This window comes from Homo sapiens, chromosome 5, assembly GCF_000001405.40.
Source record: "Homo sapiens chromosome 5, GRCh38.p14 Primary Assembly".
NCBI lineage: Eukaryota > Metazoa > Chordata > Mammalia > Primates > Hominidae > Homo > Homo sapiens.
This window is the reverse complement of record NC_000005.10, coordinates 135,358,388-135,386,264: the sequence shown is the minus strand read 5'-3', so window position 1 is coordinate 135,386,264 and position 27,877 is coordinate 135,358,388. Positions and strand designations below refer to the sequence as shown.

The following is a 27,877-nucleotide window of genomic DNA, read 5'->3' as shown; positions in this document are numbered from 1 at the left end:
TGTGATGGGAGAGGAGCCAGACTCTGGGGCCATGTCTAGTGAGAATGCTGCTCTGTTCCACCCCTCAGAACAGTGCCACACACCCACACTGACTGTCCTCAGAAGGTGACCAGCCCTTAGCCGATTGGGCAGGGATGTGGGAGCACGTGGATGTTAGACATTCTGGGTCTAACTTAGACATTCTGGGTGACCCACTTAGAACTTTGTTTTTTGGCCCTTGAGTGAGAAGGAAGTGTGTCCAGGCCCTCTTTCTGCTCTCCTCTTCACTTTTGTTTCCCTAAAGGCCTTTTCTCATTCACTCCACATGCTGTCTGCCAGGCACCGTGCTAGGCTCTGTGTGAGAGTGCAGGAGTGATCAGGGCAGAGTGGCCTCTGCTTCATGGAGCTCACACTCTTGTCTGGAAAAGACAGCCAGCCAACCTAGATAGTTTAGAGACTGAAAGTGTTGCAAGGAGTAAAAGCAGGCCAAACGAGGGCCCAGGCTGCTTGGGGGCTTGGAGATGAGCTGGCCAGGGAAGGCTTCTCTGAGGAGGAGAAATCAGCTGAGCCCTGGAGAGGTGCCAGCCAGCCCCACAAGAACTGGGAAAGGGGATCTGCCAACCACTTATCTGTCTTGATGCGCCTGCTGGGTGCCAGGCCAGCCCCTTCCCAGAACATGGGGAAGCTACAGAGAGAGGGAGAAACTGGAGTACCAGCCTTCAAGCAGCTTAGGGTCTGGTCAAGGATGTGACCCCGACATTGTGCTCCAACACTAGGCAGACATCTGAGGGAAGTCCCACCCACTCAAGCTCTCCTTGCTGAGAGCTGTGATGTCCCTTGCACAGCTACACACCAACCCATCCCCACCCCCAAAGGGCTTCCTGTCCAGAAACAGGTATAGGCAAGAGAAAAGCTGTGGTGATGCAGGACCACCTGTGCTGCAAGGGGGGAGACAGGACTGCAAGTGGGTGTCAGGAAATGCTTTCTGGAGAATGCTTGTTAACCAGTTACCAGAGCTGCCCTGCTTGTTTAGGTGTCACTGAAGTTCCTAAGAAGGGATTGTTTTCTTCTCTGCATGGCCCAGACTCTTAGAGGTGGCATGTAGTCAAGCCCAACACCTGGCATGACAATTGCAGGCATGGTGATGGGATGTGCCACATGGAGGCCCATTTGAAGTAGCTGGGCCAGGCCCTCTGCCTTCCAAAGGCCCCTGTGGGAGAGATGGGAGGGGTCTGGATGCCCAGGGATTGCTAAGAGGACTGCTGAGCTGCAGTGCCAACCTAGGACTAGGTGCTTCTGAAGCAGGGAACTGGCATCTCCTTGGTGACCAGCTCTGGGGACCACTTGGGGTCCACTGTGTTCTAGAGCTGGGTGGTTTAGAGTATGGGCATTGGTGCCAGAGTTGCCACTTCTTACTTGTGGCTTAGGCAAGTCACTCACATCTCCATGCTATAGTTTTATACTCCGTGAAATGAGGATCACAGTAACTGTCTCATCAGGTTCTTATGAGGCTGATGTGAGAGCATGCATGTGAAGTCCTTATTCCATGCCTGGACATTGTAAGTGCCCAGATGTTAACTATTAACATTAGGGTTAAAGTATGAGAGAGGAAGGGAGTCTCCAGTAATCTTGTTCTTTTTCCTGTCTCTTGTCAATGACCAGAGCCTTCACACTCCTCCAAAAGGCACCCAGCATCCTCTGATAGCAGATGTCCCAATTTGAAGCTGCCTGTTGGTACTTGGCCAATCCTTGTGCAGTTTATGGAGCCAGCTCCTGACCTGGGGAAGAAGCAGGGTCCCATGAGTGATCTTTATCCACTTTACAGACTGGATGAGGCCCAGCCATTGGGCTTGACTATATCCTGAAATAAAACCCCAAGGAAAAGGGACGGTTGTTAGAAATACATCTTGTTTGCCATCTGGTTTTGGCTAACAAAGTGATTGTCCTCATCCCAAGTTTCAGCTTGTTTGACTTCCAGTCTCTAACTCAGGTCAGATGTTGCATATCCCTTTGGTGGTAGTCATAGGGCCACAACCCATCCCTGCCTCCATCTCCTAGAAGTGGGTAGAGAGAGCCTGTTCCTGTCAGCAGCACATCCTGTTACACTGATACTCATTTCAGCCAGCATCCACCTCACTTGGCATTTCTGATGTGGGATGGAATCCTACAAGCTTGGAAGATTGAGGTAGGCAGAGCCTGCAGTTGGTTCTGTCACTTACCTTGAAAATAAGTCCCAAATCTCTTTACCACCTTCCTATCCGGGACACTCAAATGTGTCCTGGACTCAGACAGCTAAAAATAGAGCAGGAAGAAGAGGACAGTCAGGCTTGGCTCTTTGATGCTCCAAGGCTCTAGGAGCTCCCACATCCTTGCTTGTTTGCATGAGTGCACCTCCCTTAGACTAACTGACGCTTCAGGCCAGAACCCAGCTAATGCTTGCTAGTACCTTCTTGGGCACTCATGCTGCACTGGGGCTTATGCCACAGCATTTGCTGTGTTCTGCAAAGCCCTTCCCTCACCCTGTTTTCCTAAAATTAAAACACACACACACACACACACACACACACACACACACACACACACACCACACCACATCACACAGGAAAGGGACAATTAAGAATTTTATCTTAATTCTTAAAGAATTCTTAAAGAATTTTATCTGAATTCTTAAATTAAAATTAAGAATTTTATCTTAATCACACGGGAAAGGAGCCAGGGGCTTACAGCTAGAGAAAAAACACTGAAGTTGAAACTCCAGTGGGTACTCACAGTGTGCAGACTATATTTAAGTGCATGTTCCCTTTTCTGGTTATGTGAGTAATTTGTTTGAAAATTGAGAAACTAAAACTCATTCATAATCCCACTACCCAGATTTAGCAGCTGACACTTAATGCCTTTTGTGTATGTGTAAAAGACAGACCTTAGTCTAATTATTTGTTGTTATTAACATACGCTATTGATGACCTTCATTGACGGCCAGTCACAGAAACATCACAGTGCATACTCTTACAAAGCAAATTGTGAAGTACTTTAGGAGGTGCTCCCCACATAATCTAAGTTACCAAGCTTCCTTCAGTCTCCCTGGGGAATAGATGATTCCATGGTGGATAAACATTCACTGAGCATTTGAAAAAGAATCAGTTCAACACTATGTGCCTTTGACATTTCCCTGATGATGTGGTATTATATGGCCAGCAAGTTAACAGACCCAAGTGGGTCAGGCCTCAGGGTTTGAGACTAGAGCCTGGAAGCCACCAGGAGGTGGAATTCCACCAGTACTTCTCTATCTTACCCAAGACGTGAAGGTGCAGCATAGCTTGATAACATGCTTCTCCCAGGGCATGTGAATCCAGCTGTAGAGCTCAAAAACAGTTTTTATCTGGTTCTTCATGGTCCTCCTAAAGAGTCCATGAAATTGTTCAGGAGAGCGTAAACATGATCTGGGCCTACTTTGTGAAGCAATGGGCCCATTTTCCTCTGCTCTCCCAAGGCCAGCGGTCAGACTATAATACTTGGATCTGAGAGGGGAAAGACCTCATTGCTTCTTGATGCAAATATTTTCTTCCAATCTGTGGCTTGTCTTCTCATTCCCCTAACAATGTCCTTTACAGAGTAGAAATGCTTGATTTTCATAAAGACCAGCTTAGTAATTATTTATGGTATAGATTGTACCCTTGGTGTTGTGTCCAGGAAGTTACTGCCAAACCTGAAGTCATCTAGATTTTCTCCTATGTTATCTAGGATTTTTATGGGTTTGCATTCTACATTTAGGTCTATGATCCATTTTGAGTTAATTTTTGTAAAGCTTGTAAAGCCTGTGTCTAGACTTGGCTTTTTTGCATGTGGATGTCTAGTTGTTCTAGCACCATTTGTTGAAAATCTCATTGCTATCTTGAAGATAAGCCATGGTGCCTGGAAATCTTCAAAAGTCAAAGGAGTGTCACTGCTGTCTCATGATATCACTTTGAAGGGCAAAATGCAACTGTTATTTTTACCATCAGGGTCTGCAGATAGGTAGACAAGTTCCACGTGGAGGGTTCTGCTTTTGCTTGGGCCAACGGACAAGCACACAACACCACAAAACCTGTTTCTGGTAGACAAGTTCCATATGAAGGGTTCTTCTTTTGCTTGGGCCAACAGACAAGCACACAGCACCACAAAACCTGTTTCTGGAATCAGGCAAGGAAAAAGGTGTGACCAAAACTAAGTGTGCCTTCTTTTCATCTAGACCTTCCATTTGGGATCTATTTACTTCTTATTGAAGTATATCCTCTAGAATTTTATTTATTGAGGGTCTTTTGGTGATAAGTGTCCTCCACTTCGGTTTTTGAACATGTCTGTCACATCTATAAAGTTTTCAGCCATCATTTCTTCAAACAGTTTATACTAGTCACTTCTTATGGAACACAGATTAAGCATACGTTAGTATTTTACTCTGTCTTCTGTATCTGTTAATCTCAGTCATGTTGTTAATTCATGTCTTTCTGGACTACTTTCTGGATATTTACTTTTCATCTGTCTTCTAGAACTATCTTCGTGTTTACTCTTTCTCCAGCTGTATCTAATCTGCTGTATTAAACAGATTCAGTCACTGAATTTTAAATTTCAGTCATATTTTCATTTATAGAAGTCCTATTTCATTCTTTTTTGAATCTGCTTGGCCTTTTTTTTGAAATAGGATCTCACTCTGTTGTCCAGGCTGGAGTGCACTGGCATGATCATGGCTCACTGCAGCCTCTGTCTTCTGGGCTCAAGTGAGCCTCCCACCTCAGCCTCCTGAGTAGCTGAGACTATAGGTGCATGCCACTGTGCCTGGCTAATGCTTGGCCATTCTTTATCATCTTTTTTTCTCTTCATTTTAAGTTTTATTTAAATATATTTCACATGATTATTTTATATTCATTATTTAAATAATTCTAATATATGGAGTCTTTGCATCTATTTCTGCTGAATTTTGAATCATTGTTAGGAAAGCCTACCTCCTTCCAAAACTATAAAGACTTCTCTTCATGCTTTTGCTCAATATTTTTATATTTTTTCACATTTATACTTTGACCTATTTGGAATTTACCATGTGATATGGTGGGAGATAGAGATCAAGTTAATTTTATTTCACATGGTTATCCAGTTATCCAAACACAATTGAATATTTCATCTTTTTCCTGGTGATCTGAGATGCCACCTTTATCAGACATGAAATTTCTAGATACAATTAGTGCTATTTCTGGACTTTTATTTTCTGCTTTATCTGTTTGTCTTGTTGTATACTTATTTCCCATATCCAGTAGGTCTTTGTCTTTTTACTTTTGTTGAACTTCTTTTCTCTAATAAGTAATAACACCAATGGTAAAATCCACATGCTGTCAAAGGATATACAGTGAGACATGCATTGCCCTTTGGGCTCTTTTGCATTTTCAGTTCTCTTCCCAGGAGATAATCCATGTTACTAGTTCTTATATATGTTATATATCTCTTTAATCTTTTCCCTTTTTATTTAAAAATAAATCTAGAAAATAAAATGCAAAAATACAGGAAATCAAAAGGATAATGGGCACATGTAGTATGCAGAGGCTGTCTTATTTATATTTGGGCCAAGATCTTGGGAGAATATGAGGATCTTTGATCTGCCCTTAATCCCTCAACACCCCTAGACCCCTCAGCTAACCTCGAGGCTGACATGGGACTGTGAGTTGAGGCCTGCCTGGATCCTGGGCCCAGCCTGAGGCTGCGCTCCCTGGGATGATAGCTTTATAGTTCATGCTGCCTGCTACGGAACCCAAGTGTGTGTTCTAAAACATGAAACTAGGCCTGGGCGTTGGAGAACCTTCCTTCACTGCCATCCTTAATCACCACTGACCACTGCAGTGCTTGGTTCACTTGTTTAGTAATTCGTTTGGAATGATTGATTAATGAAAGAGTTAGGTGCAAAGTCCCAAGCGGGGTGCTGGGGTCAAAAGAATCACGGTTGATTTCCACAGATTTGTAGGGTACCTATGACGTGCCTCACATCAGAGCCACATTAGTGATCCCAGGCCTTCCCCACCCCTCCCTCACCTTTGTATACAGCTCCCAGCACAAGGCCAGATATTCCGCAGCTACATGGTAAATAGTTTTTTATTGAAGGCTAAGAAGACCAGTTAGAGGAATGATGAGTTTCAGGGGGAGGGAGTATTGGTAATGTCAGATACTACCAGGAAATTGATGAGGATGAAAATTAAACTAGACCCCTGGATTTTTAAATGAAACATGATTAGGATTAACACGGGGGCAGAGTGGGCCACACCTGTGTGAGGGGAGGTATGCAGCAGGGCAGCTGTTGCTGGCAAACAGTAGGGCGTTAGAAATGTAGCAAGGGCTGATCCTCATGTCTGCCAAAAAAAAGCCACAGAGGAGGTCTCGGCAATACCTTGAAAAGCAGAGGAAGTCAGGAGCTGCCCAGCTGATTAGAGATAGCAGTGTCCCAGGAGTGGGACCCAGCATCCCAGGTGTCCTCCGTGGATGACCATCAGGACGGGCTTCTAAAAGAGCTATTAACACTTTGTCACTGAAAGGAGAAGGAAGAAGGTAAGAATTCCACAAATGTCTTTTCTCCCACTGTCTTCCTGTTAAAATACCAGCAACCGATAGAACATATTTACAGTGTTTCTGCTTGCTTTCTCCTGCCTGAAGGCTTCTATGTCTAGTCAAGTCAACCCAGAGTAAAATCTGAAAGCAAAGAGCCACTCCTCAGAGCTATAAATAAACTCTAGCAAGAAGACAAACCCAAAGGGTATTAATCATTGTCAGCCTCCGTCTCTTCCCACCACCCTCTTCCAGTTCTGGTTGCCAAGAAGATGACATAAAACCTCTTTGGGTTTGCCAGGCTGCTCCACTCAGCCTAACTCTCTGACCCTGGATCCCTCCCTTTCTTCCTCCTCTTCCCACCCCACCTGCTTCCTTTTTAGGCAAGTGCATCTTCCATTTAGTGGCTAGAACATGTGGGTTCCCTGGCACCCAGTGCTGGGCTCTTTAAAGGCCGATAGTAGCGCCTGGTGCTGAGATACCCTCTCACGGGGTTGACATCACCCCATCTGCCTACAGGGGACACTCTGGGATTTTATAGAAGGCGCGTTCCCTGCAGAGCTGTGGGAGCCATGTGGAAACAAACCCAAGGCCTCTGGAAATGGCTAATGTGTTGGTTTCCCTTGCCATCGATATTCTGATTGATGCTCCTTGTGGTAACTAGTAGCTGAGGTAGTCTTTGGTTCACATTTATGTTGCCTCTATAAATCTGAGTATTGACTGCTAAAAGTCAATATCTGCTGTTCATTCAGAAAATGAGGGTACTTAACTTGAGTAGCATTGTTTTTCTTGCCCTTTCACTCCCACCCCAGGCCCTGGCAGTCTCTAGTTCATATTCTAACTGTGGCTTGTAATACTAGTTTTAGGGACTTCGGGGGAAGTGCTCTGAATTCTAGGTAAAGGTGGAACAGTTAAGTTCCAAAACATCTGCCGTATGTTGAACAGTTACTGTGTGCTAGGCACTGATTAAATGCTTTACATTTGGTAATTCATCGAATCCTCAAACCACCTAGCTTTCTTAGGAGTAAATTGAGGTTCAGAGTTTAAGTAACTTCTCCAAAATCACACAGCACAGAAACCTTAGCAGTCAGAGGAATTGGACCCCAGAGCACTTCATCCACTTGGCATTTCCTTTGTCTTGAAGCAGCCACCGTACACCTCAGGAAGACTGGTAAATGCCCGGTCCCCAAGGCTGGCTCGATGAAGACACAGCCTGAGGGGACAGACTCTGCAACAGTCATGGGTGATTGCCAGAGACATTCCTGTGGCCTCGTATGGGCAGGGAGGACAGGGGTCCTGCAAGATAGGCCTTGAAGGATAGGCAGCCCTGGACAGGGATGAGGAAAGTCTAGAGCGCACAGGCAGGAGGTGGGTGTGAGCACAGGAGGGGCGAAGTCCCCTGGAGTGACATGTGCTGGCCCGCCGGGAAGGGGCGGTCTGGTGCATGTTAGAGCTGCTGCTGTAGCAGTGGCAGAGCAAGCGAGGTACTGGGCAGAGAGCTGCCCTGAGGAGCCACAGCAGGCGTCGGAGAGGGCAGTGCCCAGTCAGGTATGGGGAGCTTGTGTCACTCAGTGGCACTGAGGAGGGCTGGAGAGTGGGAAGCTTTTTGGCCAATGTCCTTTCATTGTCCCCTTAGCGAAGAGGAGGTGGAATCCTAGGTGTTGGAGCTTAGGCAAATCCTTAGACAAGCAGTCCTCAGCATCGGGAATCCACACCGGCAGACAGCACAGAGGCCAGGCTGGTAAAGACCTCAGGAGCTATAGTGCCCTCTCAGGGGCCTCCCTTTCTATGACACACTCACACTGCTCTAAAAACAGCCATGAAAAAAGAACCTAGAAAGTCTTCGCATGCTCAGAACCATTTTTTGGGAGAAGCAGGATTAAGCAGGCTGGGACAGAGTGTCTGAGGGTAAGGGGGCTTGTGACCTGTGGTACCAAAGGCCAGCTGGGGCAGCCGATAGCAGAAGTGCCTGCAGCTTCTCATCTATCCAGTGTTATAATTATTTTCATTTTGAAAGGAAAATATGCAGAAGATAAATTCAAACAGCACAAAAGGGAGTAGAGCAAAACGTCTCCCTCTGACCAAGTCCCTGATTCTGCTCCCAGTGGGCGAAGCTGCTCCCCTGTCTTGATGAACATGTGTAGCCCGATTGCAGACGTCGCCTCCTCCCCCAACACAGTGCAGCCCACGAAACTCACTGTTCTGCTCCTCGCTCTTTCGCTTTGAGTCCATCTGGGAAACCGTACCATGACAGGGCTCCTTAAATGAGTTTCCTCTTTACATTATACTCTTCAAATCATTTCATTTCAGCAGACATCGCTGATTGTTCACCCCTTCCTGAGATGAATTAAGAACAAATGGCTGTGGTTTTCCCTATCAAAACAAACATACATATTAACCATTTCCTTGTAACTTAATTGAGAGTCCTTGACAGCAAGTGATTGGTGGGTCAGAGGTCCTGCCCAGCTGCCAGCCAGGCCTTGGAGTAGAACAGGTTTCTCAGGGCCTCCCCAGGCACCTTCTCCTTCCCAGGGCCTTGACTTCTACTGCCTGAGCCACTGGCTCTGCACGCTCTGCTGTGGTCAGACAAAAGCCCCAGACCTCATTCCAAGGTAGAGATGCCTGTGGGGGCGCCCTGGGTGCTGTGTTCCATCAAGGCAGGTCTGGCAGCACCGAGGTTAATCGAGTTCAAGTGCATTTTTCAAACATATGTTAACTGTTAAGCATAACAGCAAAGAGTAAACTATTGGCAGAGGAAACACCAGGTTTTCTGTTGCTTTTTTCCTCCTTTTGGCACAAATCCATCCATCGAAATCATCCAGTTATAGATAGAGGAAATCGAGGCAAAGGAAGTGCAGTTTTCTCCTGGTAATCAAGCTTGTCGCACTTTTTTAACAGTGCAGTTGTAGCCTCAACAGTAGTAGCTTGAATTTACTGAGTATACTAAGCATTTTACTTGGTAACTCATTAATCTCATAAGCCTAGAGGTAACCTCAGGTATCACTCCCCCTGTACAGAATAGGAAACTGAGGCTTAGATGCACTTGGCCACATCTTACAGATAATTACAGGAGCTGGGATCCAAACCCCGACGGTCTGTCAGCAGACCCCGGGCTCTCACCACAGTGCCATTTGCGATTGCTGCCCTCCCCTGCAGACAGAGCGGGCAGCTGAAACAGCACCAGAGGTGAGGAAGGCAGAGGAAAACTTCCTGACAAGGAAGATATTCGGGCACTGAGTTGGGTTGGTGGGTTAGATTAAGGTAATGTTTGCTAAGAATCATAGCTCCCCTGTGTTATTATGTATAATGTAAACTTATTTATTTTTTACTTTGAAATAGGGCTGAAAGTTCCAGTCAGTGGAACTTACTTTACAGATTCCCAAATTAAGCTGCATTTCCATCTTATTGGGAGACTTTGTGGGAAGGCAGAAGACTGGACCAAATGCTGTCTCTGAGACCCCTGGCTCCTCCTGGACTTTTCGGAGGAGTCTGCAGTGGGCTTAACAACAGTAGAGGAGTTTGTGTCAGGCTTGGAACCATCTTTGGAATACTACTTTCAATCACTGCTGTAGGTTTTATTTTCTCTATGGAATTCTGGTTCCTTTGAGGCCCCTGGGACAAGCAGATGGAGAGCTTTGCTGTGGCCCAGAGCTCCCAGCTGATGGCTGGGCAAGCTTCAGACCCTGCCACTCAACCTCCTGAAAAGGTGGGATGGGGGCAATGGATTCTGGGATGCGGCTGCAAACACTCAGAGCCACCAAGGGAATTGGAGGAGGTTGTGGTGTGGTCAGAATGCAGGAAGCTCTTAGCAGTCACCTTCCGATTGGGGTTGATTGGGTTAAGGCCTTCTGGGATGGTGTAAAACAGTTCTGAACTCAAAGGACTGCTGATGGAAGGATGATGAATCGAAAGAAATACAATAAACAGATTCCTTGTCATGTTGTTGGCCTTGTAGCAAACATGTTTTCTCCTTGGGATTACGTGAACATTTGCTTTTCTTTGATTTCTGGTTGTTATTTTCAGTATTTCTTTTGTTAAATGAGCTCTGTTTTACAGAGCTTCAGACAGCTCCGTTAAAGCCCCTGACTCTTTCCTATTGCAAGGGTTGTGTTTAGAGTTTGGCTCAGCCTCAACACATCACCTGTTAGCTGTTAGGAGTCTAATTCTGCAAACCATGACTTCATCTTGCTGAAGGAAGATAGACAAAATGCTTCAATACAACAGATATGTTTTAGTTCAAGACATTTGGAAAAAAGAAAAAGGACCCTAAGCCTTTCGTCTCTGGGTGGACTTGCAAAGTAGACCTGTCAAAGGTATTCATGTTCAGACGGCTGGTCTGTAGTCAAAAAGGCTGCCAAACCATGCTGTTATCCAAGGATGTGGGAATTTTGTCAAGCGGCCTTAAAACAGTCATGTTCAATGAAGCTGGGGAACGTTTGGCCCAGGATGTCCCTGCAGGGCTTGCAGCTCTGAGGAGAGGGAATATGGTTGCATCATCTAGGCCACTACAGATGATGGTGCCAGCCACTCACTAGTTGCCAGAGACTGGCCCTGGCCAGGAGTGAGAACCAGAGGCTTATGTGTTTTGAAAAACAAAAATCTTAGAAGAGTTAATGAGCTGGCCAGTTTGCTCACCATTCAACTTGTTCCCTTTGCACCATTTATAATTGGGAACTTTACCACACTTACAGTCCTCTTCAGAGCAGACCCTAAGCGCCTTGGGCCCCAAATCAGTCTAGTATTGGTCATTGGTAACAAAACTTAGACTGTCACCGACTGAGAATACTTGGCTTGATGGGGTGGAGAACCTGGTAAGGGGTTCTGTTTCTTCTCCTAATTGTTCTTTTCCGTTTCTTCCTGTGGTTTCTTATGGATTCCATTTATTTTGGTTACAGCCTCCAGGCTGTGGCTCCTGAAAATTTCCTTCAAGAGAGAATCCAAGGGCTGAGCTCTGGAAACTCTGGAGAAAAGGATTTTTGTGTCCATAGATCTGGTGTTTTCCTGGTTATCTTTCTCAGAATCGCTTTTCTTTTAGACCAGCCACAGACAAAACAGAGACTCACAAAACCTTCCAAAACATGAAATGAATTGAGTGCAAGAACCCACCCTCCCCCTTGTAGGAAGGCATCGGCTCCATTCACTTTGAGGCAGAGGCTTAAGTTGGCTCTGTTCTAGCCTAGGAGAAAGCCCTCCTTGCTGGTGGGAATGTGAGGGCCATCCCAGTGTGCATGGGGGGCAGGCAGGCATTGCTGTACAGCCCTGAGCCTGGGGCCTCCATGACTTTGCCCTCCATATTATTGCAAAGCAGAGGATCACTTACAGGGAAGAAAACTACATCAGGACATCTCCTTTGGTGACGTGTGCCCTGTCCCAATTCCTCAGCAGTCAGTCACCCTCTCCGCTCCCCCCTGAATAGGAACATGCCCTGGAGAGCAGATGGGAACCGTTCCATCTTGTTGAGTTGCTGGCATTTTGCACCTCTGCTGTCTCTGCAGCAGGCAACTCTTTCTTAGCCAGGAAAGCCCTTTACGATGGCTTTTTCTAAACCTGGACTAAGGATGAGAGGGTGAGTATTACTGATGGTTGGCAGGGGATGAGTGTGTATTCTGGGTTACTGCTTTTGTTAAGTCGGGCACCCTCCATTTTCCCTGGCCATGGTGAAATGCCCCGGCCCTCTGCTGCTGCAGCACAGGAGAGGGGTGGGACACTGAATATACTTCTCATAAAAGGTGTGTTTCTGAGGTGCTCTGTCTTGTGTGTCCCTTAACGATGGGGTTACTATGGTAACTATCCATCTGAAAAAAATGCAAGAGTAAACAGAAGATAAAGCTCTTGCTTAACTAGCTGGAAGGTGGATCTGTGCCCCTCTTTGTTATCCCTACTTGACACAGCTCCCTCCTCCCTACCCACAGGGCTGAGGGCCCACCCTATGGTGGTAGGAGTATGGAGAGGCAGTAATTTTGGCTTGTGCAGATAAAAGATGAGCTGGGGTTTTGCAAAAAGGAAGAGTCTTGGATTCTGGGGCTCCTTGGTAAAGAAGGCAACAGAATGACATCCCTGCCCAGCTCTTTCTAAGGAGCTGAGATGCTCCTCCTTCTGCCCCTCCTTATCCACCTTGCTACTCACTGTCACTTACAGGTTGGTCCAGTGTGGCATCCCTGATTCCCAGTTGAATAGCAAAACATAAGCATGGTCCTTCAAGTTTCTCTAATGGAGAAACTGAGGCTACTGAACTTTTCAGTCACAAAGTAAGAGCATAAAGGGGTAAAGCTTGCGAAGCCAGGGATAATGTCCTCTAGCTCCTGGAGAATCCATTTTCAGGTTTCTCAACCCGATGTGCTTACTTCTGGGCTACTCTGTTGCTTTCTGTTCTTTACATACTACCTGCCCTCACCCAAGTCAGGGGCCCAACCACACTCTTCAGGTCTTTTTATCCATCATTCTCATTTTTCCTGCACAAAAAAAAAGTGAAGGCAGCACTGCAGAAAATATAGACCACATCCCTCCCCTCCTCCCCGACCACCAACGGCCACTGAGCCTTCTCTCAGGGAGGGCCTTCCTCCAACGTTTTGGGCAGGAAGAGGAAACAGGCCACCTCCACTTTCCTGAGAAACTGTACCTTCAAACGATTTTCTTGCCAAAGGGTTGGGCTTAGGACTTAGCAAAACAGGTCACCACTGTGGGCATTCTCCTTCTGCCTCCCTTCCTCTCTGTTAATGAGGGGGCAGATAAAGCATTCTTGGCACATTATGGTCAGAAGATTGTAATCCATCAGCCTCCTCCTGTATATTCTGGCTCTGCAGATACCGATGGCCCAAAACTTCGTTGTGGCCTCCAAAAGGGGAAGGTTGTGGAAGGGAGGGGAAGCCAGCAAAGTGGGCTACAGCTCAGTGGTGCTTGATATGCCTCTCAGGCCTTCCTGCCGTGAGGATTCTGCCCAGCACCCATCGTGGCTGACTCTCCTTCATGTTCCATTGCTCCCAGGCTCTGTGTTCTTGTTGGGCTTAGACTCTTGGTTTGGCATCCTCTTGGGCCGTGGGCAGGACAGTGGCATTACGGATGTGCTCTCCCGCCCATGAACACAGGAGAATGAAGGCCAAGCTGGGCTGGCCAGGCAGGCGCTTCTGCATTCACAGTACCCAGGGCCCAAGGTCACATAGGCATCACAGGCACCTTTTTGGCTTGGCCAAGGTGGGCCCATCACTGCTGGGCATTGGGACACTACCACGATCAATGATAGGGAAGCTTCAGTGAAAATGCTGGGTGGCCATCTCCCTCCTCCACTGGTAAACTAAACTGTGCTGACACTGGTACAGGGAAGGGAATAGCGTTGTGGAGACTGATGGGTGAAAGTGGGAAATGTGAGCCCCTCCACCAGATTCCATGTAAGCACTGGCTATCTTGCCTTCCACCCTGCCTTAGTTTTGTGGCTCTCACATGTATAAAGCCCAGGTAAGGGACCCTGTGGCATTCTTTATCACTCTCTGTATCACTGGCATGTGTAGCCCTGCAGGCCTGGGAACACTGAGAAGACAGGGGCCTCCTGGTGCCTTGGGTCCCTCCTGCCAAGCACAGAGTTGTGTGTCATCAGTATGGTGATTACTGAGCAAAGGAATTCCTGCCTTGGATTTAGGGGGAAACCTGCTATTTCAAGTGTGTCTGATCTCCTCCCGCCCCTGCCCCCAAAGCTAATATGAGAGTTTCCTTGAGTAGCCAAGCAATTTTTCAGCTTTACACACATACAGCAGGTTATTTGCATTGGGTGGAGCTGTTAGTACCTCTTAAAAATGCATGCCCTGTGTCATACCGTAAATTTTTAACACACGATTTTTATGCAGCTAGAATTTTCTTCCTAGTTATTTCATAATGATTCTGAGTGCTGGTGTTGCTGGAGAAATCTAGTGTTTACAACATAACTAAATATTAGAAATTCTTTAGTACTGGGAGGAGGTCAGATTTGAGTTGGGCCCAGAAGGGTAGCCTAGAATGACATCCCAGTGTGGGCAGAATTGCAGAAGTGGAGAATATAAGATCCATTCTGGGTCTATCCGTATGCCTCACTAAGAAAACAAGGAGACAGTGATGAGGTTGACAGGTTACCAAGAGAACTGTAATGCCAAGGAGAAAACCAGGTTTTGCCAAAGGGTACTTCCTAGTTCCCACCATCTTTGGTGCTGTGGAAAACCTGTCTTGTCTTGTGAGACTGTGCCCAGATGGCAGGTAAATCAGCTCTTAACTTAGTACTAACTATGGGTTATGCTCATAGCCCTTCTAGTTTTTATTTTCTTGCATACATTTTATTTTGAAAAATTTCAAACATACAGAATGTCAAGAATACACTGATTTCATCACCTTACATATTTGTTTCCTTGTGTTAAGAACTTTTAAAATCTATTATTTTAGCAATTTTTAAATATACATGATTGTTAACTATAGTTACTATTCTGCACAATAGATCATTAAAACTTCTTCTAACTGAAACTTTATGTCCTTTGACCAACATTCGCCCCGACCCCACCCCCAGTCCCTGATTCCACATAGAAATGAATTCATGCTATATTTGTCCTTCTGTGCCTGGCTTATTTCACTTAGCATAATGTCCTCCAGGTTTATCCATGTTGTTGCAAATGACAGAATTTCCTTGAAAGAGGAATGTTCTTATAATCATATACCTAGATTTAACAACTGTTAACATTTTGCCATATTTGCTTTATTCCTTAGAGCTTTTTCAGAATGGAGGGCAAGTTGTAGGCATCAAGATGCTTCACCCCTAAATACATCAGCATGTATCTCCTAAGAACAAGGATGCTCCCTACAGAATGGCAATACCATTATTACACTTAAGAAAATAATCCCGTGTGTCTGATACCCAGTCCACATTCAGAGCTCTTCAGTTGTCTCCAAAATGACTTTCCTAGCTTTTATTAAAAGAATCAGAATTTCATCAAGGAGTGACACATTATATTTGGCTTTTACATCTTTTTCACCTTTTGAATCTACAACAACCTCCCCCCACACACACACACTTTAAAAAATGTATTTGTGATGTTGACTTTGTAAAGAATCCAGTCACATCCTTCCAGTTTTGCATCCAGATGTGCAGGCATTCAGCATTGATGTAATCAACAAAGATTTAACAGGCCTCCTCAATAGCAAGCCATCCTGTCCTTGAAACTCTAAGCAGGCATGGTATACTCTCAGGGACCACACTGAGGACTTTGGGTTTGGCCCTGGTGACATCTGCAGTGCTAACTGCAAGCACCCTTTCTGGGAAATGAGAGCTGGAACTGGGTTCAGATCTCAGCCCTCCCACTCACTCACTCAGTGATCTTCAGCTGGTCCCTTCTCCCTCAGCTTCAGTTCCTTCATCTCCCAAACAAGGGCATTGGACCTGGGGCTTCCTAGGTCCCACTCAGCTTTGCCATTCAGCACCTCTGTGACTCTGCCCACAGCTTTTCACCTCAGGGTAGCTGCTTCCTGAAGCAGCTGCCTCTGCCCATTCCTGGCACTGTGAATGTGGGGACCGGGGCGGGGACACATGGTCCTCTAACATGACCATACACTCATCTCTGCTCCCCACAGCGGAGATTCTGGAGCTGGCTGGCAATGCAGCGAGAGACAACAAGAAGGGACGGGTCACACCCCGGCACATCCTGCTGGCTGTGGCCAATGATGAAGAGCTGAATCAGGTATGGGCCTCTCCCATCTCCCACTGATGTTTGAGCAGGTGGTCATACTGCCCAAGAAACATAGCTGAGAGGCTTTGGTGTTGGCTGGTTATGAAAGGTGTGGACTGCCTTTTGGATTAATTAGCAGCTTCTCTGCCTCCCATGGCAGTTTTTCCCCAAGGCCTTATTGGGAGTGTTGGGGGAAGCAGGATAATACAAGGTATTTGGCTCTCCCGAAAGGAGAGAGATGATCTAAATTCCATTTGAGTGAGGGACTCTGGGGACTGGATCCCTGAGCAGTGAGCTTGAGTCCTGGCAGCATCCTCATGGAGGATGCCATGGAGGAAGGAGCTGCACCAACCCAAAGCAAGACTGTCCTGGGCAGGGCTGGCTTCTTGAAGGTTAGAAGCAGGGTATCTGGCTCACTATCTGCTATTCTGGTTTTCCTGAAAGCTGCTAAAAGGAGTCACCATAGCCAGTGGGGGTGTGTTACCCAACATCCACCCCGAGTTGCTAGCGAAGAAGCGGGGATCCAAAGGAAAGTTGGAAGCCATCATCACACCACCCCCAGCCAAAAAGGCCAAGTCTCCATCCCAGAAGAAGCCTGTATCTAAAAAAGCAGGAGGCAAGAAAGGGGCCCGGAAATCCAAGGTATGTGATTTGGCCAGAATGTATGAAGTGGGATAGGATGGGGTACGGATAAACAGGGTTACCAGGGCACCCCCCTCATTCCCCCTGTGGGCTCATCCCACTGATGGGAGAATAAAGGAGGAACATGTAGGAGCTGATTACTCTCCAGAGGGGCTAGTCCAACACAAGTAGCCAGAGTCAGGAGGCCCTCCCAGAGTCTGGACCCAGTTGAAGGACAGAACCTCTGTAGGCAAGGGGGATGGGTGGTGGGCTTTCAGGGATAGTGTCAAGCTGGAAGGACTCCCAAGCTGGCCCTTCCAGGGAGATGCACACACCTGTGGGAAGGGGGCTTCCCTGTGTTAGGGGACAGCCACTGTCTAGTCCTGTGGCCAGCTACCTGCATGCCCTGATGCTCAGTTGCAGAACTCTCATGTTGCCATGGCTGCATGTCTTCCATCAGGGCGCTCTAGACAGTTCACTCCAGAATGGTTGCCTCTGTCAAGGAGGAAAATGGATGTATTACTCAGGTGCTTCTTCCTGGGCCTAACTTGGATTGGCTGGGTCCTAGGTGCTGGAAACCCTCTCATTAGTGTTATCTAATGTCATCTTGGGTGGAGAAGGCCAGCAGACTCCAGGTCATGATCCTCAGTGTGGAGGAGCACCCTCCGGAGGTCCAGGCCTGTGATTGCTGTGCTCACCTGTCTGAGCATGAGCTGGAGACTACAAGGCAACTGGGATACATTTTCTTTGTTCCTTCTTTGCCCAGTCCTACTTGTCAGCAGTTGTCACAGCCTCCAGAGCCAACAAACAATGGACAGTGCCACCAAATCTTGGTCTCTAAGAAAATGGAATCTTGAGGCTGCCCTGCTCTGAGGTACCCCTTAAGGAGTCCTCCTTCTGGCCTCCAGCCAGATCAGGAGGAAATTACCCATGGCAGAAGGTGACCTCTGTATTTTGCAAGACCCTCAATAAGAAGTCCTGGAAATGCATCTGTGGAATCTAATGATGCAGTGTCAGGAAGTTCTTCCTACATGAGCCCAAATCCTCTCACCTGAGTGAGACAGTGAGGACACCTTCCCAGGACAGGCTCAAGGAGCTGTGACCAGGTGAACAGAGCTCCTCCTGTCCTGTCAGCATGTCCTCTCCTTTGAGCCTGCCTGTGCCTCAGGCAGACTGGCTTTCACCCGCATGCAGGGACATCTTCTGTGAACCCCAACCTTCTTGCATCCACACTGTTTGTGGCTTTTAGTTGAGGTGAAAGAGGCTGTATTTCTTTGCATGCACAAAATCTAAATTCCTCTTGCCAACATGCCACCCACCCTTAGGCCCAGAATCACTCCCAGCTCTTTGAGAGAGAAACCCAATATTGAGGAGTGTCCTATAAGTTATTTCCAGACACTTGCATTCCATCTAGCTCACAAGTCCTGGAAGAGGCTTGAGGCCAGGCAGGGATTTCACAGAATGCGCCACTGCTCATTCCTGCTAACTATAGAATTAGCAGATTGGAAAGTTTCTTTTTCCCTTTCAACATATGCATTTGGGAGGAGGGCGGGGAAGGGAAGGCAGGAGGAAAGTGCTTGTGCAACCCTTTCTAAATGTTAAAAAGGCAACGAAGATACTGAATCTATCATCTTTTGATTATGAGCCCCAGAGACCTGGCTGCCCACAGAGCAGGGCCCTTGGTGCTGAGGACCAGCAGGGGCAGGACCACGTCCTCAGCTTAGCCTTTGCCCTGGCTGTGTCCTGAGCCATCACCCTCCTTCATGCGTTCACTGTTGATACTTGAGTGGGTCTCTCAGATGCCAGTGTCTGCTGGCAAACCTGGGCTGAATCTTGTTCCTGTTACTCTAGTCTTCCCCTAGTAGTTTTTGTTCTATGACTTTCTGAACTTTCCAATTTAGTAAACACTAGGAATTCATCTTACTTTTTGGACTTGAAGTATTTGGAGTGGGGGTGTCTTTAGCTCCTAGTAGCTATATTTGGAACTTAGTGTTTCTAATAACCATATGCCAATAATCACTCGACCACTCAAATTTCCCTTGATTACAAAAGCAGGAAGCCTGTTATGGTGGTCTGTTTTTCTTCCACACAATAAAACACATTGTCTACTTACTGTACCAGTATTTGGCTAACATTAAACCCTGGGGGAAGCTGAAATTGGAACCGTGAACAGCTAATTTTCAAAACATTTGTTTAATGTAAATTGTGGTGTCAGCTCCCAGAAACAGCAGAAAAGCCTGCATCTCTAGGTTTAAGTGGAATGTTCTGAAAATAACCTTTCCAGGGACATGCAGAGAAAGCCTTAGTAACATGCTAAAGCACTTGTAGTGAGAGTTGGTATTTTTCAGGTGTCAACACTTGAATTCCAAATCATAATTTTTCCCACAATTCTACATAATTTGGAGGTTTTGAAAATCTCCAATTGTGACAGCTGAGTCAGCTGTAGTGGAAATGGTTGGAGAAGGCAACAAACTGCACCAGGGGCTGGGTGTCCAGAGCCTGACTGTACACTAGGGCTCCTCTCTACTTGGGTGGCTTCAGGCAAGTCTGTTCCCTCTCTATGCCTCAATTTACCTCCATCTATAAAATGATCAGGTCCATTCCAGCCTTACAATTCAGTAACCGTATGCATATTACATAATGTTTTTGAGTAGGGCACATGTATGAGTTTGGACAAAAGAGTATGCAGTAAAAAAAATTTTGCTCCCACTGTAGTCCCTCACCCTACTTCTCCCCAGGGCACACTCAGTGAGTTTTTATGTCTCCTTTCAGAAAGTCTGTGCATATAAAAGCATATAGAGATGTAAATCCCTCCCCATCCTACTTGCTCTTTTTTTTTTTTTTAAATAAAAATCGTATGAGCCCCCTATTTTAGCAGTGTGGCATAGTGATTAGGGGTGCAGGCTCTGGGGTTAGCTATTTCCTAGCTGCATGATCTTGGCAGGTTGCAGAACATCTCTGGTGTTCAGTTTCCTCATCTTTAAAAAGGAGATGTAACACAAGTGGTTGTGAGGCTTAACAGAATTCATGGAAGTGCATAGAACCATGTCTGGCACCTGTGTTCACTGCCCCTGTCATATTCTGGGCAGTCCTTCCATGTCTCTGCATGTAGAGCTGCTTTAGTGTTGCATAGGATGACTGGTCACTTATGTGATATATAAAAACAGTGTAGCCAGCTGAATTAGTCCATTCTTACGCTGCTGTGAAGAAAGGCCCAAGACAGCAATTTATAAAGAAAAGCAGTTTAATTGAGTCACAGTTCCACATGGCTGGGAAAGCCTCAGGAAACTTAGAATCATGGCAAAAGGCACCTCTTCACAGGACAGCAGGAGAGACAGGAGCAAGCAGTGGAAATGCCAGACACTTATAAAACCATCAAATTTCATGAGAACTCATTCACTGTCATGGGAACAGCACAGGGGAAACCATCCACCATGATCCAGTTACCTCCACCTGGTCTCACCCTTGACACATGGGGATTATGGGGATTACAATTTGAGGTGAGATTTGGGTGGGGGGCACAGAGCCAAACCATATCATCACCCTTCTACAAGTGGACTTTTAGATTGTTGTAGCGTTCATTCTGACAAACAGTAACTGTCATTGTTTGTGGATCTCTGTCCTCACATGCAAGTAAATGTATAGGATAAAGTCCTCAAAGTGAACTTACTGAGGCAAAGAGTGAGTATATTTTTAGCTTTGGCTATTACTCACTTTTAGGGCATTTTAACTACATTAATCTCAAAAACTGCCTCATCTTTTTAACATTTAATACTGAGTTTTTAAAAAATGAATATTCATTAGACCAATTTGTATCTAGTCTGTATGCACTAGTTACTATTCTCAGTAGTGGAGATGTGGCAGAGAACAAAGTCCCTGCCTTCCCTCAGTGTTCAGGGAGGAGGTGCAGATTCATTACAGAAGGCAGGAGGGAGTAGCTGCTATGACAAAAATAAAGTGGCGTGATGGCAGAGCCAGTATTATTTTACATAGGCAGTGAGGTGAGGTTACTCTCATGATACTGGAGCAGAGCCCCAGCAGAGTAAGGTATTTGGCCATTGAAGTGACTGGGGGCAGAGAGCTCCTGGCAGAGGAATGGCAAGTAGGCCTGAGGTGGGAGCATGCCTGGCCCCTCTTAAGAGAACGTGATAGGACTTGCCTGTGGAATCCCTAACGTTTTTGTAACATGGATACTTTTGGCAGTGAGGGAAGCCTGGGGACCCTTACTCAAGATAAAGATTCCAAATGCATAAAATAAAATACCTAAAATTCAAAGGAAACTATGCCTAATTTTGTCCCTCAGGTTAAGATCCATCAGATGTACGCTAAGAATCATAGGATAACTTTCAGGGGATCTCTAAGAAGCCAGTTTTTGCCAAACTTTTGGATAAATAATGATCTCACCAGGGATTTTTTCAAACACAAACCATCAACAAACCTCACCCTATCCCCATGTGAAAACTACCCTCCTAGATCATAAATATAGGCTTGCTCCTTACCACCTGGCAAAAGCCCAAGGTGATTTTAGTAGAGTGCCTCTTTCTCTTGTTGAGGAATAAATATTTAAACTGCAAATTGAGTGATTAACGTTCTGGTAAGGGAAGCCAGAGAAAGGAATTGGTTCGTTTGAGAAGCTACTATTAGAAAAATTTGCTGGCCTTCTATTGAAATTTTAGGTTGTTCAAACATTAGAATAAGAGACTAAACATAGGTAAACATGGGGTGATGATTTTACATAAGTCTTTCTGGATGCTCAGTTCTACAGTTTCTTAAATGTCTCCCAGCTGACTCTGACCTAACAGGTTTTCTGCTGCTCAGAACAAAGCTGGGCGAGTGTCCAATACATGGAAATTTATGGGTTTGTAGGACAATATAAAATTATAACAGTCTTTCTGGAGCTGACAGAATTGCTTGCTAACTTTTATTTCCCCCAAACTGAGATATGAAAATAATCTACCACTTAGTAGATTCCATTTCATAGAAGAAAGGGCATTTTTTTTTATTATACTTTAAGTTCTAGGGTACATGTGCACAATGTGCAGGTGTGTTACATATGTATACATGTGCACAATGTGCAGGTGTGTTACGTATGTATACATGTGCCATGTTGGTTTGCTGCACCCATTAACTCGTCATTTACATTAGGTATTTCTCCTAATGCTATCCTTCCCCCAGCCCCACACCCTCCCACAGGCCCTGGTGTGTGATGTTCCCCGCCCTGTGTCTAAGTGTTCTCATTATTCAATTCCCACCTATGAGTGAGAACATGCGGTGTTTGGTTTTCTGTCCTTGTGATAGTTTGCTGAGAATGATGGTTTCCAGTTTCATCCATGTCCCTACAAAGGCCATCTGACAAAGGGCTAATATCCAGAATCTACAAAGAACTTAAATTTACAAGAAAAAATCAACCCCATCAAAAAGTGGGCAAAGGATATGAACAGACACTTCTCAAATGAAGACATTTATGCAGCCAACAGACACATGAAAAAATGCTCATCATCACTGGTCATCAGAGAAATGCAAATCAAAACCACAATGAGATACCATCTCACACCAGTTAGAATGGTGATCATTAAAAAGTCAGGAAACAACAGGTGCTGAAGAGGATGTGGAGAAATAATGCTTTTACACTGTTGGTGAGAGTGTAAACTAGTTCAACCATTGTGGAAGACAGTGTGGCGATTCCTCAAGGATCTAGAACTAGAAATACCATTTGACCCAGCCATCCCATTACTGGGTATATACCCAAAGGGTTATAAATCATGCTACTATAAAGACACATGCACACATATGTTTATTGCAGCACTATTCACAATAGCAGACTCGGAACCAACCCAAATTTCCATCAATGATAGACTGGATTAAGAAAATATGGCACATATACACCATGGAATACTATGCAGCCATAAGAAAGGGCATTTTAATACCAAAACATTAGGAAGAGACATGATTTCAGACAATAGGCTTTATGAAAAACTTGGGCATAGTTGCTATGATTTGAATGTGTTAACACCTCACAAGCAACTGTAACGACCTTAAGCACCTGCCCTGTTGTCCCGTTGGGTGGGTACCTTGAAGGGAAAAGGCAGAAGTTTTTTGCCAAGTGGGCAGGCTATATAGGACCAGGCAGTGATGGCTTGTCTCTGGAGTGCTTTACTACTTTCTAAGGCCAGTCGTTTAATCAGGAACTCTCCAGTCTTAGTCTCATTTTCTTTCTTTCTTTTTTTTTTTGTATTTTTGGTAGCAGTGGGGTTTTGCTGTGTTGCCCAGGCTGGCATCCTCCTGCCTTGGCCCCCCACAAAGTGTTGGGATTACAGGCATGAGCCACCACTCCCAGACCCAGTCTTATTTTCCAAATAAGGAATCTAAGGCTTAGGGAAAGGGAGCAGTTTTCGGGTCATGCTGTTGGGGGAGCCAGGACCCAAATACAGAACTTCAGAGTTCAAACTTCAGAGTACTATCACTTTTATGTCCTGTGACTGTTTTTAACAGTTGGAAAATTTACATTATTTTCTCCTTATTTCTCTTTTGCTTGCCCCACAAACTTTCATCTTAATGTAACACATTTCTATTCTATTTTTTAGTTCTGCAACAAAAATAATGTATATAAATTTCAATTTTGAAAAAGTGTTTTTTGACTTTTATAAAAGCATTAAGTAGTAGATTCTACAAGATTGGATAGTTAGCACATTTATTAATAATATACAATTGATCAAACTGACAAATGCATTACAAATTCTAATAACTGTTAAGGAAAAGGTAAAATTTTATTGGAAAAACATCTTGTAATGGGCTGGGTGGATTTTTTCCCCCTAACTAGTTCAGGTATCCTCAGATGAATATTACTTATTGTTGAAATGAAACAGGGCTTAGCATCCTATTTTTATATATTTCTAGGTATGAATGTCTGGAAAATCTTGTTCACTAAAAAAAATTGAAATGGAAAGGGTTTTGTTATAGCAACATCATTCAGTCCTCTGAACTCTTTGATATATGCCAACAATACATAGTGTAATCTCATCAATTTGTTTTAATAAACATTTTAGAATAGTGTTAGATTTACATAGCGTTACAAAGATAGTACAGAGAGTTCTTGAATATCCCTCACCCAGTTTCCCCATTGTTAACATCTCACATAACCGTGGTACACATGGTCACAACAAGGAAATCAACACTGGTCCATTACTGTTAACTTCACCAGTCTATTTTCTGAAGATCTATCAGCTGTTAACTCAATTAGGTATTGCTTCAGTTTTGTTGAAAGCACAGGATTAAAAACACCTGACTTGTGAAAGTCTGTTATGCAGCCTTTCCTATTCTTGGCTCCTGAAAAGTATATCAAAAAGGGCTTCACTAAGATTTACCATATAATTGTTGATTATACCTGTTTCTCTTTCACTCATCAAATGTTAAACACTCAGTAGGAAAATCAAAATAGTGATAATTTGTAATGTATATTTGCCAGTACTATATTTCTTGATAAAGTGCTTTTTCTCTTACTTATAGCATAACCTTGGAACTTGAGATTTAGCTCACTAAATTTAGAAAAAATGTTTGCCATATAACCTAATTGCTAAAGCAGCCCTTATTGTTAAAAGCCATTAGCAAAAGTAGACCTTACTTTTCATTGTAAGTAAAAAATGTTAATATGCTCCTGTTAATGAATTTGAATCCTAAATAGGCAAATGGATAGGACACAGGCCTTGCCCAGAGTTTATTCAGATTTATCCTTCAGGAAAGCATGGCCATCTGTAATATTTCTCACCCCTTCTTTCTGGATTTTCTCCCACTAGACCCTCCCTCAGGAGTGAAGTACTTTTTATTAATAATTTGGGGAAGGGAAAGGTGAAGTGTCTAAATGAAAACCAATGTTGTTCTCACTATCCTTACTCTACAATTTATTTGAATGCAGAAAATCTCCAAATTAGCCAAAGTATCCATTTCTAATACAGGCTTTGTCCTTAATAGAAATATGCCAAAAACACGCATCCCTACTCCCACAGTGGTGTGCCATATTAGTATTTACTCTGGGAAGTGGGAGGAGGGTAGTTATGAAAGGAGCTCTGGCGTGGCACCTTGACCACAGGTGTACTTCTTACGGCAGATCAGTTGTAGGAAAATGTTAGGAAGTAGAGGATCGGAAAGTTGTTTTCTTAAACTCTCCATGTCATGTACCTCTCTCAGAAGTTCCTTGGGAACTCCAGGGCATACATATTTCAGTCTTAATAATGCTGAGGAAGAAGCTGAAGACCAAGCCAAGAACCATGGGTCAAGGGGTCTGCAGGGAGACAGATGGTTCATCACAGCCACCACATGCGTCCTTCTCTAACACTGGCTTTAAGGAAGGAAGGGTGGAAGCGAGTCTGACCTTCTGGAGTCAGGAAGGTTAGAGGGTTATAGTCCTTAGTCGGCTTTTTGAGAATTAGTGACCTAGAACAGTTTTTCTTCTTAAGCTTGAATAGTATTACAGACATCTAGAAAGGAAAGACACTTAAAGATCCTTAATTAAGAGACATTTACTTGGTCTGAATTTATGAAAATGGTTCTATTCTAAATGATCACTGTAAAGTGAAGTTTTACCTTTAAGTGGCTGGTTTTTTTTTACGATCATAAAGTGATTAACATATAACTTAACACACTCCACAGAACTCTTGTACCTCAAAATGAGTCTGAGCTCCCCCTTGGAGAAACGCTGAGAACTGGTTGTGGTTTAGTTTCCTGTTTCCCCTTGGGTGTTATGGGTGAGGCTTGGGAGCTGCCTCTCTATTAGGATGCCTGTGTCTGTGTGGCCCACATTCTGACCCTTCCGTCTGTGCAAGAAGAAGCAGGGTGAAGTCAGTAAGGCAGCCAGCGCCGACAGCACAACCGAGGGCACACCTGCCGACGGCTTCACAGTCCTCTCCACCAAGAGCCTCTTCCTTGGCCAGAAGGTAGGCAGATGCGCGGCCTCAGTCTACTCGAGGGCCCCAAGGGACAGGTGGGCACAGGCTACTTCCACTGGAAGGCTGGGGGGATCCCGGGGGCCACTCCCAGCCTCGTGGGTAGACAGAGTGGGCTGTGAGCTTTGGGAGTGGCCTCAGGGAGGGCTAGATGCTGGGGAGGCCACAATGCTGAGGGAGGACCCTGGCAGCTGGGGAAGGGAGACAGTGGTAAAAAAGAAGAGGGCAGGCAGCTCCTGTGGGAGATGGGGACCCTTGGTTAGTCTGGAGGAGGAGCTGCTTCTGTGGGATAAACTGGTCATCAGATAGCACCAGCCAGGGAATCAGGCAGAAGTCAAGCCTTGGTGGTGGAAGGTGAACAACCTAGCCGGCAGCCTGCTTGTCCTGGGGGGCACTAACGGTAGAGCCTCAGGTCTGATTCAGGGCTCTACAGGGGATTGTTTTCAGACTGTACTGATGGGTGCACTGGGTTTCTTCACTGAACCACCAGATGACTCTTCCAGCTAATTGTTTGTTTGTTTTAACCATGGGCAATATATTTTCAGCCGCCCCAGTGATGCAACTTTGCCAGGACGCCATGGTTTTGTAAAAGACAATTCACTTTTATTGAAAATAAAAATGATGCAAAGGCTTTTAAGACCTGAGAATGAGAGTTAACTAATATTTCTTTATTGACATCAAAAAGGGGTGGGAAGAAAGAATTAAACTCTTCTTAATTTTTTAATCCTATACTTAAAGAATTAAAGGAATGAATTTGACGTTCCAAGTTAATCTGTGTTTAGTTTGAGTGTGGTAACAAACTTGGATCTGAAGCTGCATCATTTTTAAACCCTCACTGTCAATTTCTTTTGCATCACAGTGACACGGTTCCCTCGCTCACGTCATTGCAAGTTCTCCTCCTACCCCTTTCCCTCTTTCTGTCACTAATTGCACTCTCTCTCATGATGCAATTCCTGTGGTGGACTCTGTGTTCCAGAAAATAACCATTACTGTTTACATTTTTAACCATTCTTTGTATTTTGTATGCATTTTTCAAAAGAAAAAGTAGCACTAGTTGTCATCTTAAGGTCTGGGGATTTGAAAGTTTTTGTTTTAAAATATTTTTTGTTCCTTTAAAAATTTCGACTCAGCAGTGAAGACAACTGCCTGGGTCTACTTTCACCCCTGTAACATATTCCTTGGGTAATGTATTGAAAGTTAACGTGACCCATCCACATTACTTCCATTTGAAATACAGAGCAGTTCAGCCCTTGGGGTCACCTTCTCCCTCTTTTCCCCACTCTGCCCTTAGGCACTCCCACCCTGGCCTCTCCCCTGCCTATGTTCTTGTTACCTCCTGCCAGCCACTCCAAAGGCAGCCTCAGATCAGAATTCCTCATACCTCCCTTGCTGGATGAACTAAAATATTTCCAAAGTAGCAGCAAATATGGCTGTAAAAATGTCCATGCAAAATGCAGATGCCCTTCTTGTTGCTGTGATCTTCTGAAAGAAATGGGATCACGGCCTCCTCTGGGCTCTGTTTGTTAGCCCTGGAGGGGAGGGGGCAAACACCACAGACATCTTGCTAGCTTCTCCCAAGAGCCAGGAACATGTCAGCTCTCAGCAACTCAACTCTTCCTTTTCAGATACATCTGGTCTCAGGGCCAGGCATCACACGAATAAAAATAAAGTACAGTAGAGTAAAATTTTGGCTAATAATGACTGTTCCCTACTCAGAGTTGGTAGGGTGAGGATACAAAAAGCCATAGAAAAGTATTGATACTCTATAATAAATTACAAACATATCATTTAATGTTATTTTTAAAAATGGAGAATGAAAGCAGTGAACTTAGCTTAACAGTGAAATTAATGTGCTTATCTTGACTTTTGGAAGGAAAATTTGAAAGGAATGGTTAAGCTGCCACCCAGTATAAAATGGTCAGCCATAAGAGGGGCTGAATGTAGACCCAGACAGACCACCTAGCCTTCTTTCCCATATCACCCCCTTTTTAGTGGTGAAAACAAAACACCAGGCTACCAAGAAACTGCCCTTCCTGTTTAATGTGCTTGTGACTTTATGATCCAAGAGTCACATATCCAGGAAGAGGTACCCAAAAATCT

The 27,877-nt window shown here is 45.0% G+C and overlaps 1 protein-coding gene across 32 annotated transcripts in view; it reads left to right on the top strand.

Annotated features, from left to right (window-relative positions):
• MACROH2A1 (macroH2A.1 histone) overlaps positions 1–27,877 on the top strand; it is a 65,507-nt gene that overhangs the window by 13,623 nt on the left and 24,007 nt on the right. For 14 of the 32 annotated variants that reach the window (NR_174487.1, NR_174499.1, NR_174496.1 and 11 more), the window contains 3 exons: positions 16,123–16,229; positions 16,662–16,859; positions 25,661–25,768. The exons of 1 other annotated variant lie outside the window; for it this stretch is intronic. Coding sequence is in view for 12 of the 31 variants with exons in the window: in XM_011543730.4 (XP_011542032.1) it covers positions 16,123–16,229; positions 16,662–16,859; positions 25,661–25,768 (413 nt within the window). In the remaining 19 variants the exon portion in view is untranslated. Of the gene's footprint in view, positions 1–16,122; positions 16,230–16,661; positions 16,860–25,657; positions 25,769–26,322; positions 26,783–27,877 lie in introns of those variants that run through there. 17 more of the 32 variants (NR_174483.1, NR_174501.1, NR_174494.1 and 14 more) reach the window with 5 other exon arrangements.